The 15,531-nt window shown below is 36.3% G+C and overlaps 1 protein-coding gene across 1 annotated transcript in view; it reads left to right on the forward strand.

Annotated features, from left to right (window-relative positions):
* Positions 1-15,531, forward strand: part of PDE7B (phosphodiesterase 7B) — a 343,874-nt gene that overhangs the window by 95,289 nt on the left and 233,054 nt on the right. Inside the window, exon 2 of the mRNA NM_018945.4 lies at positions 475-535. Coding sequence (NP_061818.1) covers positions 475-535 — 61 coding nt within the window. The remainder of the gene's footprint in view (positions 1-474; positions 536-15,531) is intronic.

Consider the following 15,531-nt stretch of genomic DNA (forward strand, 5'->3'; position numbering starts at 1 on the left):
ATCTACTTGTTTTTCCTTCCAAGTTCAGAGAGATAAAGTATAGGCCACCTAGCTTTATGTTTGATAGTATCTGTGCTTTGCAGAGTGGGTAGTGTAGAATAATATGGGAGATGAATAAGGACCAATTTTGAGAATAATTAGCCGCAGATTATTGGGCCTAATAGATTGCATATCTTCCACTGAAATAGAAACTGTTTCAAACCAAATGCATCTCTAGTCGTGACTTCACATGGGAGCACATAGAATCTGCTCTATGCAGGGGCATAAGGCATGCAGAAACAATCTATTCCAACTTATCCCTCAAATATTTTACTACCAGGCAAGTCTCTGCTCATGACATAAGTCCCTAGACTCAGGTAACCAATGAAAACAAAAGTAGAATAATGTTATGGTAATGTCAGGTCACATGGATATATTGTCTTGGGAATCTTGATATGAAATCTTAAAATAACCTTGGCTATCTTTCTATTTCAGAGGTGTGGCGAAATCTTGTTTGAGAACCCCGATCAGAATGCCAAATGTGTTTGCATGCTGGGTAAGAAGGCTTCTCATTTTAAATATATTAAGCATGTTGATGTCATGTGGAGTTATCATTCTGTTGCCTTTTTGGCTGTCTCTCATTCTGTTTTGAAGAGGCTGATAGGTTCTTTTGTGGTTATGCAGACAGCTATAACACATTTATATGTGTAACACTTGATGATGAGAAAAGGTTCTGATTTTCTTAATTGTCAGCCAGTCAAGGACCATGCTTCTGAGTCTTTCAAAAATTTTCTTGGATCATCAGCATAACATAGAATTAGGTGGTTTGTATTCAGGCAGCTATGATGAAAAGGTAAGAACCATGTTGTAATTCCTAAACCAAAGATGGATGATAAGATAGACAAGTAAATTATTAAGTCCTTACATCACAGTACAAAACCCTTACTTAGAATTTCTGGAAGAAATGTATATTTGAACTACTGTAATCTGAAGTCAGCACAACTATTATCGACACAGCATTTGTAACAAAATAACAACATTGTAATGAATAATCATTTGTTCTTGTAGGATGATATATCATCAATGCCTTTGACAAACTCTTTTAATATATACTGTTAGGTAATGAAGTTGGTATTATTTTCCTCATTTTATAGGTTAGAAACAATTATAGAGAATATAAGTGATGCACTTAACCTCAAAGTGAGAAATGGTCCAAATCATGATATGAAAGTTTCTAAACAGTAAAATTTTAGGTCTAGTGTTTAGATCTTATTTAAGCCACTAAACTATGTCCAATAAAGTTGCAATTCATTATAGTAATAGAAGTAAACAGTAGCATGGATAAATAAAAATAATTTCTAAATTTTATTTTCACCAAATTTTTACCTTTGTAGATTCTAACCTTGAACTATATTAATAAGCAAAGAAAAAAATTATTCATTTTAGCATTTTCTATTTACTCTGCCCACTTCATATATTGACAGTCTAGATTATTGGTGAAAAGCAGACAGCAAGTTAAATAGAGGCAGGCAAAGATCTTGGTAATTTATAATTCAAAATAATCATGTAACAAATAATCAAAGGTGGTACACGACTTAAGAAACAAACAAAAACCAGACATCATATTTTTCTAGCCTTCTAATCTTTCTTAAATTCTTTACTGATTTTTAAATCTCTCTTTGCAGTTCTATGTTTTTATTTTAATTAAGATGGTGGCTATATAGTAATACATTCATTGAAAAATGAACGTTTTACTAGAAGCACATGAACGAAGAATATAGCATTGCATCCATACACCCATTTCAAATATCCAATATTCCTTCCCCTTGAAAGTGTGAAATGAAAATGTCTCCAAAGTTCTAATATTTCAGGTACTAGATAGATAGATAGATAGATAGATAGATAGATAGATAGATAGATAGATAGATAGACAGACAGACAGACAGACAGACAGACAGACAAAACAGGTACAGATGGAAGCAGAAAAAAAATCCTTTGTTAAGCCATGTGTCCCAGTTTTGGATTTGGGAAACTGTTTTACCATCACATCAAATAATCTATTCAACAATTAACTCATTTAATTTTCCACAATAACAAGATGAGGTTGGTGCTATTGTTATCTTCATTTTATAAATAAGGAAATTGAGGGAAATGGTTGAATACTGCAGGTACCTTACTACCACTGAAATATTATTTGATTGTAGCTTTCACCTGGTCTAGTAACTTGAATCAATGTTTAACTCATGATAATTTTAAGCACATGAATGCATCATCTATTTTGACTGAATGTTTCTGTGTCCTGTCTTCCATGTAAGTTGATTGATTAGTTTATAGCTAGAACAGTAAGAGACTTTCTACTACTGCCTATAGATTTGAATTCACTTAAAGTAAGATCAATTATCTTTCCATCTCTTCTAGATTATGTGGTATGGTTTATATAGCTGCCAGAAAACAATCCTGACCGCCAAATATGTCTCTAATGAATCTGCCAGATTGCACAAAATTCTAAAATTAGAAATGCATTTATATAAATCAGTTTTATGTTGCTACCACTGTCATAATAATTACAGTTAATTGAGCACTTAATATGTGGCAGGTGAAATCCATCCCAAACACCTTACATAATTAGATCATTTATTCTAAGTAAATTAAGAGAAGCTCTATCTTTCAAAATATAGATATCTCTAGCAATAGAAGAGTTTTAATTAAGCTGATACTGGTTATTAACCTTGTAGATTTCATTAGTTTGTTAGATTTCCCTTTTTTTCGTAATTCAGAACTAAATAATAAAAGGAACTGTGAGAATGGAAGTTTTTATTAGTTTCAGGACACATAGGAATAACAAGTATACATTTTACCTTTAAGATAGACAGTAAATAATTAATGACTATTCAAAGATAATATTATGCTTAGTGAGTTTGAGTTGCTCACATAGTGAAAATTGTGCCCTTGAGGAGCTTATATTTAAGACGGCTTAGATTTTTTAAGAGAATTGCTGCAACTTTTAATTCAGACACTTATGAAGTCCTTTGAAATCTTAGATGGAAGAATACCAAAATAAAATCATTATGGATATCAATACACATGGATCAACCCCACCATTAACATGCATCCACCTGAAGCCCAAGGACTGCCACTTCACAGCAAAATGATCCTAGATGATAAAAGAAAGAAGTAAAGTTTAATGGTTTATTCACTTAAAATAAACAAGAGAAATCAAATTATGAGCACGTAAGTCCCTAAAACTGAGACCACATCTTGTATTTCTTCAAGAAAGAATATCTATATTAACACAAAAAGCACCTCTTCACCACTGTCTAAGGTATTAATTAGTTTGTTGCTATCTTCAAAAGGAATCTCAGATAATGTTCTTATGATTTCCTAAAGCATTTTTTGAGAAAACTTTACATCTCACACAAGAAAGTATAAGGAGTCTCTGATATTGTAAAGGACTATTGTGTTTTATAAGCCCTGCCAACCATAAATGTAGTTTTTATTTTTGTAGGTAATTTTATAACATTTTTATGAATAAATCAAAATTTCTAAATGAGAAAACCAAATATATGGGGCCACCTCAATATTCAGATCCCTGATGGGGACCAACCTGAGACATCCTCATCTTTAACTGGTCAAGCCCTTGGCTCACTCCCCTGGAAACCTCCCTCTCTACCCACTCACACTCCAGGTTTGGGTGCCTGCTGGATCCTAGCTGTGTACTGGTTTCAGCACAGTTGGGGTGGAATCTGGAGAAGGGTCACTAGCCAGGGACTCCATTTGCATTTCCTTCTCTTCCATTGGCGAGTCCCCATATCATTCTGAAAAGTACTGTTTTTATGCTTTGTGTTGTCTACCTCACGACTTCCATGAATATGCCATTCTTATGGAAAATTACACTTCTGACTCATTCCGTTAAATGAGACATAAGTGTAAAATTCACCTCGAGTTACTCTGGTGCGCCGGATTCAATGCAGCTTTAAATGGAACCAAACTACTGTCATGTATGAGTCTTGCAGGGAATTATTTCTGGCTTCAAGAGAATAGCTCATGTTGGATATGAAGGTAAATACAGGTGTACTGCAGAGCTGACTACACGGAGTGTTAACTATTTATTCCTTACAATTGTTCAGAGAGAGCAAATGTGGATGATCAAGTTAAACACCAAATTGTAATATATGTTGCTTTCTTTTTTCCTTCAGGCTTAGGGAAATGTGTGTAGAGCTTCTGCCTCCCTGTCCTCCCCTCTCCACCTTCCTTTTTATAAATTTAGCCATAAGATTTCACTCAAGTTCAAATTGGCCTCAGAAGTTTATATAATTATATCAATGGATATACAACTGTATAGCAACACTTTTACCTTCTTCAGGTCTCATGAACAGATACTAAAAGAAAGAGGAAGTGGAAGAGACATTATCTCTCACTGTATAATTAATGCATGAAGTATGGCAAGTTACAAAACAGAGTTTACTTTTCAAAAGCATAATGAAAACTGTTGGGCAAAAAGAGCCCAGAATATTTAAAGAAATTATGTAAAATGATCAATGTTGATTCACTTCTCAGTTCATTTGTGAACCTTGCTCTGTGAAACGATAAATCATGGGAAAAGAAACTTTCAAGAAGAAATTGCTGATCAGATTTAGTGCTTCTTTGTATCTCCTATTTTTCTTATTATTAGAATGGGATTTTTTCAAATTATAAGCCTTAATTTTTAATTTATGATATTTTGTTGGCTCAATTTCTCCATCCTCTTTATCAAGGTTTAATTTTTTTAATTTGAAATTTTCATTGGCCCTGTTTTTGTCTCATGTATGATTTCTTTCATGCTGATGAGTATCATGACTATTAGAATGTACAATAAGCACTTTCTTACCTGCCATAACTTAGAAGGGAGTATTCATATTAGTCAGTTTTCTGGTTGAAAATTATTATAAATGATTTAAATGATTGCTAATCTTCAGAACAACAGAACACCAGAAAATCAATATTTTATTAACACTCAACATAGGCATAGAGGGACTTGCTTTGTAGCACTAGCTCTGAAAAAATTAACTGTGTACTCACAGAAGTTGCTTCATCTCTCTAGGATTCAATTCATAGTTTTCCTGCAAAGTGGAAATAAAAACATCTGTCCTTCCTAGCCCAGGGGTTTTTCTGGTGAGAGAATGAGATGTTCTATGAGGAGAAGCCTGTTATGATGTCTGCCCTAAATATTGTGTATGCATCAATAAGTTGATGCATAAATGATAAATAATTGAAAATGTAAAAATTGATAATAAGCAAATATAAATAAGCTAATAAAAATTATTACTGATGATACCAATGGTGTTTAGAAAAGCAATCGAAAAGCTAAAACATATGAATATAAGGACAATTTTTTAAATATTAAATACATTCTTCAAAATTGCATGGTGCCTCCAGGGTAGAACGAGACCTTCATCTAATTTTAATTAATCGGATGTGCATCAAGCACCTACAAGGTCGTGTGCTTAGCATTGAGAATCCAAAGACCAGTGGGGCATAGAGTCTGCCCTTAGAGGGTTTATTGTTCAGCAAGAGATTGAGGTCCTGAAGCCCAATGTATGCAACACCAACTCGACTGATAAAGGCTACAGAAGAAATAAAGATAAACTACACTGGACTTCAAAACATGGATAGAGTGCATATAGCAGGGATGTGAAGACTCATCTATCTAGATATGAAAGTTGAGAACGTGGCAGCACTCTAGATGGATGCAAGACCACTCTCAAAAGCTCAGAGATAAACTGGGGAGTGTTTCTGGGGCAGTGTTTCAGGCCACGAGGTAGATGAAAGAATAAATTGAAAAGAAACTTGAGACCTGATTACAGAGAGCTTTACTGTCATCATTGGCCCTAAAAAGGACAGAAGTACCAGATAAAAGAGAGTTCTGGTCTCTTTTATTTAGTTAGAGAGTCTTTTCGATTTAGTTATAGCATATCAGAGAATACTCTATAAGCTCCTAGGTACTGGGTAGTATTAAGTACAGCCATTCATCAGCTACTTGTGAAATTAAATAATTTTAAACCAATGCATATTTAACCCAATGCGTATCTGACGACCTGAATTCTGGTTTGATTTTTTTTAAAAACATGTTAATTCTATTTTTCCTCTTCATATCAAATATTATAGTATTTTATTAAGCAACAAGATAATATTTTCATCTGTGACAGTAGAGAAAAATGTTTTTTTCACTTTTTTGGAACTTTGTCAGCTAATAAAGTTGGGAGTTATTTTATATCTATATTTTGCTCTTATCACTTGCTTCAGCTTTTGGTTTTTGCATGTGGACACTTATGAGACCTATATACTGTTTCTTAAAAAAATAATACACAATCTGTTTTAAGGCAAAATAAGATTTGGTATCAAAGTAGGCCACTGTGGTGTTGGTAGAAAGAACAGGGCATTGAAAGACCTGGTACCAGCTAATAACTGTGTGAGCAGAGGCATGTCATTTAGGGGTTGTAGACCTGTTTACTCTTCTCTAAAACTGAATAATAAGCAATAATAACAATATTATTGTCTACCTTATTAGGGCTGTTGAGGATTACGTGACAATAAATATTAAAACATTCAGTGAACTTTTAGAAGTACTATAAATATAAGTTATTATTTTTATTAATACTCAATTTTTTCTAAGTCCTTGCACTTCATTTTATATTAGTAGTATTTTTATAGCAAACTGACAGTATTGTAGATTTTAAATATTAAATGATCTCAATTTGGTTCAAGTGAATAGATATTTTCAAGTGCATGTTGGCAATTTAGTAATGAACATCCTTATAGGTTATGAAAGAAATATTATTGTAAAGATTATTTTGCGTGCACTTGACTTAACAAGTAAAGACTGTGTTGAAAGACAGACGTTTTCAAGTTGCTCGATTTTGATTTATTAAGGTTAGAATGCCTCAGGAATTTGAATTAATTTTAACTTACACTTTCAAAGCTCTTCATTGCTGTCACTTGGATTCATCAATTCACTCTCTCTATATGCGTGCTCAGACAACAAAATTGCTGAATGATATTTTCTTACTCTGCCCAAAGAGGGTAAATTGAACCTGGATATTCTCAAGGGAGGATGGTGGAAGCATCATTCCCCATCACTCACCCAAGGCCCTGTCTTGTTTCACTTTTCATTGCACTTATCACTAAAGGACATATTTTCTATTTGTCCATCGCTGTTCCCCAGCCTTGCCCTGCAACACACCCATACACGCAGAATGTGATTATCACAGAAGTAAGGACTCCGTTTCATTCACTGTTGAGTATCCAGCATCTGGAACATCTAGCTGCCCAGCCCCTAAGAGGAACTCACTATTTGCTGAATGGATACGTGCTGATGTGTTTGTGAGAACAGCAGTCATCCGGAGTGCATCTCTCGAGTGTGTCAAAGATCGGTTGGCCTAGTATTTAAAACTCTCTGCTAACATAGCCAAGGCCAAGGGTCAGCTCCTACATTAACTAACTGGTGGCTTCCCAAGCACACTACTCCAGGTTACAAGATAAGAAAAAGTGGTTCCCTTCAAATAGGCAATGAGGAACTATCCTAAGAGGAAGATTAACATGCATTCATTGAGCACTGCTGTATGCCCAACCCTCTGCTAGGAGTACTCTGAAAGTTGATATAATAATGAGCAAGGTAGAATCCCTATTGCCACAGAGTATATTCTTGGGCAGATGGAGCATTGTGCTGAGAATACAGGAAGAGGCCCATTATTTTGTCTTCTGTTTATGGGAATATACAGAAAATTTTTTCACCTTGAGGGTTATGGTTTAAAAGGCATTCCACATTATCCTACTGCCTTTTAAAATTTTGGAAGTCAATATTGCTTTGTGTAAGAAAAACAAGTTTCCTAGCTTGAAGGTTGCTTTCTGTGGAAGGTTGCAGCATTTCCACAGCAACAGAACACCTCATTTTTGAATGCAGCTGGAAGCCAGGGCTCAGATGAGAGCTACCTGCAGAATAACAACACAAGCGAAGTCCAAACTATCAGAACTGAAGTTGTCAAGCCCAAAAGTGATAGAAGTGTCAGTCTTGTATTGAGTTAGCTTCATTTTCTGTCTAAAGCTAGAAAAAGGGAATTCAATGAGACCTATCAGCCTTACACAAAGCTACACTTCAGAAAACATGTTCAATCAACAAACACTTCATAGATACACATTGTGTGCCAGAGTAGGGATGCAAAGATATTGAAATTCTATCCTCAGCAAGCTCCCAATCTAGTGACACAGGGACGACCACACAAACAATGACAACATAGCATGATAAACCACAATCAGGAGAGCCCAGGTCTTACGGGAAGGGGAAGGGGAAGGGTGGAGTGGCATCAGGAAAGACCTTGTGCAAGACATGGTAAGGAGCTGAGTGTCAAAGAGAAGCTCCAGACAGCCCTGGAGCTTGCACTGAGGACAGCCCATTGGGAAAGGTGTTGTTGGTATTTCTAAGAGCAACAGGTACCGGCAGCTTAATGTGACCAATTAAAAACTGTAAGAAAGTCTTTATGCCTGGAAAATAGAGTAAGAGGAATGAGATAAGACAATCGAATGTGGACAGGAAGGCAGGAGAGATTATGAAGAGCCTTATAATAGGACAAATAACCATTGAAAGATGTTTAAGCAGAGGAGCTACAAGGGGAGATACACACTTTAGACAGATCATCTGTTTAGAGTGGAGAATGCACAGGAGGAGGATATCGCTGAAGAAAGACTAGTTTAGGGAACAGTGGTATCTATCAGGTGAGAAAGGATGAGTCCTACCTGAATTGAGACAGTGTCAGAGAGAACAGAAGGTGCAAAATACAGGAAACTTTTCAAGAGGGTGATAGAACTCTACAATGGGTTGAGTGTATGAAGTGTTATTAAACAGATCGAGATACTGCCCTGTCCCGCAAAGAAGAGTCCAAGAGAATTGAATTTGCATGGGGTGGGGAGAAGTTAAATTTTAGACACAGTAAATCTGAGATGCCCAAGGAACTTTCCACTGCAGCACAGCTCAGAAGGAGGGCTCTGCAAGTCAGTGGCGGTGGCGACATAACAGAAATGAGATCACCCAGGGAAAGGTGAGGAGTGAGATGAGGTTGTGCTTTGGAATGCCCAGAAGCATCCCCAAAAGGGTTGGGCAGGTTCAAAAGGAGCCTATGGAAGCCTAACTAGGTAGGAGACTAAAATAGAGTGGGCAGAAAGATAAAGGAAAAGGAGAGGATTGTACCTTAGCCATCTTAGCCTAACTAGGTAGGAGACTAAAATAGAGTGGGCAGAAAGATAAAGGAAAAGGAGAGAATGGTATCTTAGCCACCTTAGCCAAGAGGAGAGAGTTTCAAAAGGTGGGGCATAATACAAATGTAAAATACTGTAGAGGTCAAATGAGATAAAGCCTAAAAAGTGTTGCTTGGACTTAGCAACCTGAAGGTAACAACAGCAAGAGCATCAGCAGCAGAAGGTGGGGTGAGGTGGGTAGTGTGGAGCCAGGCCACAGGGAGCTGAGGGCACTCCTCTGTCAAGAAATTGGTCTGAGAGGGCTGAGTGCAGTGGCTCATGCCTGTAATCTCAGCACTTTGGGAGGCCAAGGCAGGCAGATCACTTGAGCCCAAGAATTCAAAACCAGCCTGGGAAACATAGCAAGACTCCATCTCTACAAAAAATACAAAACTTAGCCTTGAGGTGATGGCAGGTGCCTATAGTCTCAGCTACTCAGGAGGCTGAGGTGGGAAGATCCATTGAGCCCAGGAGGTCAAGGCTGCAGTGAACCATGATGGCACCACTGCACACTCCAGTCTGGGTGACAGAGCAAGACCCTCTCAAAAAGAAAAGAAAAGAAAGACAGAAAGAGCAAGAGAGAAAGGAAAGAAAGAGAAAGGAAGAAAGAAAGAAAGAAGAAAAGAAAGAAAGCAAAGAAATAAAGACGGAAGGAAGGAAGGAAAGGAAGGAAGGAACGAAAAGAAAAGTCAGAAAGGCTGGTGGAGGATATGACAGTACCTCTCAAAGTCTGCCGTCAGGAAGGGTTTCTTAGGATAGGAAGGATTTGAGAATGTTTTGATGGTGAGAGGAAAGAGGAGAAGAACTGGCTGAAGTTTTATGAAGAGAAATGGAGTAGTTGTGAGCCTTAAACCTGCGATTGTGAGAAGATGGTCCCCGTGGGCGAGGAAGCATGGAGATAGAGACAGGTGTGCCTGGGTCCGGCCAGGCAGAGCTGGAAGAGTTTCCATCTGATTGCTTCCCTTCTTTTTAAGAAGGAAATATGGTGTTCTGATGAGCTTAAGGAGAGGAGCAGGTGAATGCAAGCATACAGAACTAGGTTAATTCAAAACTAATGTTACAAGAAATATAAAAAAACTGAATAGAGGTGTTTAAAAAAATGTGGAGCAGTTTTGAGGACCCAGCTGAGTTGGACACTGTAAATATCCAGGCCTATTCTTTAAAATTAAAAAATACAGAAAAGACAAACTATGTGTTCTTAACACTCATTTCAAAAGAGTAACTGTCCCATGCTCATAAAGACCCTTCCCTTTATTCTCCTTAACTGCTTCCCGGTCCTTTCCCTATGGCCAGCCAAGGTAATCTGCAAGGGGATGCCTTGAACCCAATTCACAAATCCCTCTCCCTGGTATTGTACATGTGAAGTTGCTTCTCCACTTCCCCAGTGAGCCTGCACATTCCGGGTAATAGGTCTCTGATTTAATTTTCTAGCACCCTGTGTTGGCCTAGAATTCCAAGAAAACACAAAAAATAATTCCTGATGAAGGTAGACAAAATGTCTAAGGTTATATATTCACCCCTAACATTCTCCCACCACCCATGGTGACTCTAGAAGGTTATTTTTTGACCTGTCTTGGCCTAAAAGGGGATGCCTCTACATCCACCTCCCACTTTGTGAAGGAGACCAAAGGTGCTAAGCCATTTGAGCTCTGGGAGTACAAATGTCCCCTGAGCTGGGCCCACCCCTGTCCAATCACATCAAAACTGCCTCTTCCAGCCAGAACAGTGGTTCACGCCTATAATCCCAGCACTTTGGGAGGCCGAGGTGGGCGGATACCCTGAGCTCAGGAGTTCAAGACCAGCCTGGCCAACATGGCAAAACCCCATCTCTACTAAAATACAAAAAACTAGCCAGGTGTGGTGGCACGTGCCTGTAATCCCAGCTACTCAGGAGGTTGAGACACGAAAATCACTTGAGCCCAGGAGACAGAGGTTGCAGTGAGCCTAGATCGCGCCACTGCACTCCAGCCTGGGTGACAGAGCAAGACTCTGTCTCAATAAGAGTTAAGAAAACTGCCTCTTCCTCATCCTCTCTAATTCTGGTTCATTTTCCGCTTCTATAAATTGGATTCAAAACTTCTTGCTTTCAAGATGAGTCCATCTAGGAATCTTTGTATACATCAAACTGTACTTTTTAAAATGTTCCAGAGACAATGTCATTTTTAATTTTGACCCCAAAACAATGTTAGGCTTTCTATTGGAAGGAGTATAGATTATAGTTATATTTCATTGTAAATTCATATTTTTTAAACAAATTATTAATATAGGTTTATGAGATCTCAACCTGCCAATCTCAAACCACCTCATAAATATATGAGGTTTTCTAATATTCATAAATTATAAATATTCACAAAATATAGAAATTTTCAGAATGAGACAAATTACGTGTATTACAAAGGATGCACAAGAACAAATGTTGAAGTATTAAATAAATAAATACTTGTTCTCATTATATCAATTGCTATCTTTGAACTGTAGCATTTCTTTTTCATATCTAATTGCCAAAATATATTTTGTTTTCTTACCAGGAGATCCATTCTAAAGAAGTAGCTAGCTGATGGTATAGAAAGCTCAGTTTTCATAAACCCAACATTTTCCCCTCTCACTGAATAATGCATGTTTTTGTGACTCTAGCATGAACGCTATCAAGCTTACTGATTATTTCTTACTATAAAAACCTTAAAGGCAAATCTAAGGATATTTACAAATGAAAACCAAATGTGTAGAATTTTTTTGCCTACTTCAAGGTACCCAACCACATAGGAGCCTAATTTGATTTGTAGTCAACATTTTTTACATTTTCTGACTTGTAATTTAAGGAGATAGTTAACATGAAATCTTGTACATTGCCATTTTAGCTTTACCTAAATTCTGGGATTCTGGGAGCTCTAGTTCTTTGTGACACAATAGAAAAATTGAAGACATCATTCTAAACAAGGACCTGACATTCTGAAATATAAGAAAATAGTGCCAGAAATGCTAATAGGATATAGAATTCCATGAAGTTGGTGAATAGCACCATCCTCATTTTTTCAATGATAATCATATACTACAAATCTGAGAGTTTGGGAATATGAATAGTAAATATAAGAAAAGAGTTACTATGTCAAGCTGCTTTCTAAAATTTATGTCGAAATGTAAATTTCAGAAAAAGGCATTTTAATATTTTCTCTTCTTTTAGAAAATCAAGTATTTAAAAAAGAAATTGAACATCTTGGAAGTATATATTGAACTCAAAAATACATTTTCCTTGTTTCTGAGGAAAAAAATTAGCATCATATTCCTGAATTACTGCATTGTTTATAGAATGGGTTTGTTAATAATTAATTACACCAGGCAGTCTACGGAAAGGTACCTTATTTTGTCTGCTATTTCACTCTTTGTGTCAGGAAAAATCTTCCCTCATGAATCATGTTTACAAGATGGTTGACTAATGAAATGCCAAGAGGACTCTGGGTAACAGTATATGAATGACTATGATCATGTTTTGTATAATTTAACAGACATTTGGAATATCACAGAGTCTTTTCTTAAAAAAAAAAAGTTTACATTTTTGGAGGCAGAGTCTCAGTTTGTTACCCAGGCTGAAGTGCAGTGGTGTGATCAGAGCTCGCTGCCTCCTGGAATTCCTGGGCTTAAGCAATCCTTTCACCTGACCCTCTCAAGTACCTGGGACTACAGGTGTGCACCACCACCCCTGGCTAATTTTTAAATTTTTTGTACAGATGGGGTTTCACCATCTTGCCCAGGTTGGTCTTTAACTCCTGGGCTCAAGTGATTCTCTCACCTTGACCTTCATAACAGAGTCTTAAGCAAATCTCTGAATATCTGAAGGGGCTTAGTTCTTTCAAATATTGCTTTCATGGGACTTTAAGGTTGCAGTTCAAGTAAGAGGTAGATGATAACTTCTTCTCCCAGACTGGTCTACTTCCTAGGATTCTAGAATTTTGACGGACAGGTCTCCAACATGTGACCATACAAATTTGTGTAAATTTCTAGGACATAACAATAAATAAAGGATTTTTTCCCTTGTAGCAACTGTACCATTGAAAATGGAGAAGTGTTTGACTAATAACAAAACATGTGACTGCCATGTTTATTTTGTTTACTTTCCTATGGAAAAGTTTCTTAGAAGATCAGTTTCAAATGTTAGCATCTTTAAGAGAGAAAATTTTCAATTACTGTATTTAACATTAGTAAGTATGAACCAACAATGTGCATACACATGTGTAAGCTTATATTTACCAGTAGCCTGATGTGCCTCAACAATTGAAATGGTAGTTTATATACTTACTGGCACCTCTAATTCTCCTGCTATTCATTTATTTAGCTATTGGTTTATTTTGATTTAAAGTGGGGTTTTTAACTTTTTAATTGAAATACAGCTTAAATTCTGAGAAATGTCTAGTTTTTAAGTGCAGCTCAATGAATTTTTACAAAGTTAACGTATCTGTACAAAACCACATGGATGAAAACAGATAGTTTCCCTCGTACCGCCTCCTAGACATTACCTCCCAAAGATTCCATTCTGATGCACTGAATTCTATCACCATTCCCTAATTTTGAAATTTATATAGATGAAATTAAAGAGTATATTCTTTGTCCAGTCTGCCTTCTTTCACTCAACACTGTCTATGAGATTCATGCATGCTGTTGCATATAGATGTAGTTCATTCTTATTTGTTTCTTTTGCTATAGAACAGAAGTCAGCAAGTCACAGCTCTTGGGCTAAACCTGACCTGTCACCTGTTTGATTAGAACACAGCCATGTCCATTCATTTACATATTGCCTATGGCAGTTTTCATGCTACAAAATGGTAGAGTTTGGTCATGATAGAGACCATCTGATCCCCAATACCTAACATATTTGCTATGTGTCCCTTCACAGAAAGAGATTGCCGATTACCACTATAGTGTCTAAATATTCTTATACATGTCTTTTTGTGCAAAAAATTACACACATTCTTTCAAGTATCTACCTATAATTGCAAATTGCAATTGTTGGGTCATAGAGTGTATATGTGTGTGTGTGTGTGTGTGTGTGTATGTGTGTGTGTGTGTGTGTGTGTGTGTGTGTGTAGTTCAGCTTTATTCTGCCAAAAAGTTTTCCAAACTGGCTATACCAATTTATCCTCCTACCAGCTGTGTACAAAAGTCCCACAAATAATTTAACACTCAATGATTAACTTAAGTAAAAGTTAGAATGCATAATTCATCATTTGACTCAATAAAAACAGTTTATGTAATAGCCTGTAATGAAGATCATGATTATCATTTAAGTAAACAAATCATCAGGTGTTACCATCAGGTTGATGATGGTAGTAATAAAATGAGTAAATTTTATTTGCTGATTATCCATGAGCATTAAAGAGTTGATGAAGTTTGTTGCATAAACTGAATTAATAGTTATTCTTTGTTGAACACTTGAAAATAAATGTCCCACAAATGATCCTAGTAAGTGCTTACTCACCCACAGGGAACTATAAACAAAACCCTGGTTCATAAATAAAAACTGTTTTCTGTCGACCTAATTAATTTTCATTTTTTCTTTCTCAACAAAATATACAACTAACTATATTTTACAGATCTAAAGTTATAATATGAAAAGTTATGATTAAGGGAGTGAGGGCTGAATAGGAGGAACACAGAAGATGTGTATGGCAGTTAAAATATTCTGTATGATACTGTAATGGTAGATACATTTGTCTATAGAACATGCAACATCAAGAGTGAACTGTGATGTAAACTGTGGATTTGGGATGATAATGATGTGTCAATGAAGGTTCATCAATTATAACAAATGGACCACTCTGATGGGGGAGGTTGACAATGGGAAAGTTTGTGATGTGTGGTATGTGGGGTATATGGGAAATTGCTTTACCTTCCTCTCAATTTTGCCCTAAAAAAACCAAAGACTTAAAAGACTTAAAAAATAATAGTTAAGGCATCATATTTGGAAAAATCGATAGTTTAGTCCTTTACTATGAAATCATATAGCCTAACACTTCTAAACTTAACCTTCATGTGTTGTTTTCATGGACTTTATACATACTTGCTCTAGGAATGAAACAGCAGTGTTTTCAATTGGCCTTTTTTATCAGTTTCTCTCAGTATTGGGTATGTGCAGGTGGGGAGGGTCACCTTTAGCTAGTATCAGAATTGAGTTGAATGCGAGAATTATAAATTTCGTATAAAAAAATTCAAGAAGCGTTTTTGCTACCAGGTGGTAAAATCATGCATATTTTTTATTTCCCTTTTTTTGTCTCTTTATATTTTCCAAGTGTT

The sequence above is a fragment of the Homo sapiens genome, chromosome 6 (assembly GCF_000001405.40).
Source record: "Homo sapiens chromosome 6, GRCh38.p14 Primary Assembly".
Classification (NCBI taxonomy): Eukaryota; Metazoa; Chordata; class Mammalia; order Primates; family Hominidae; genus Homo; species Homo sapiens.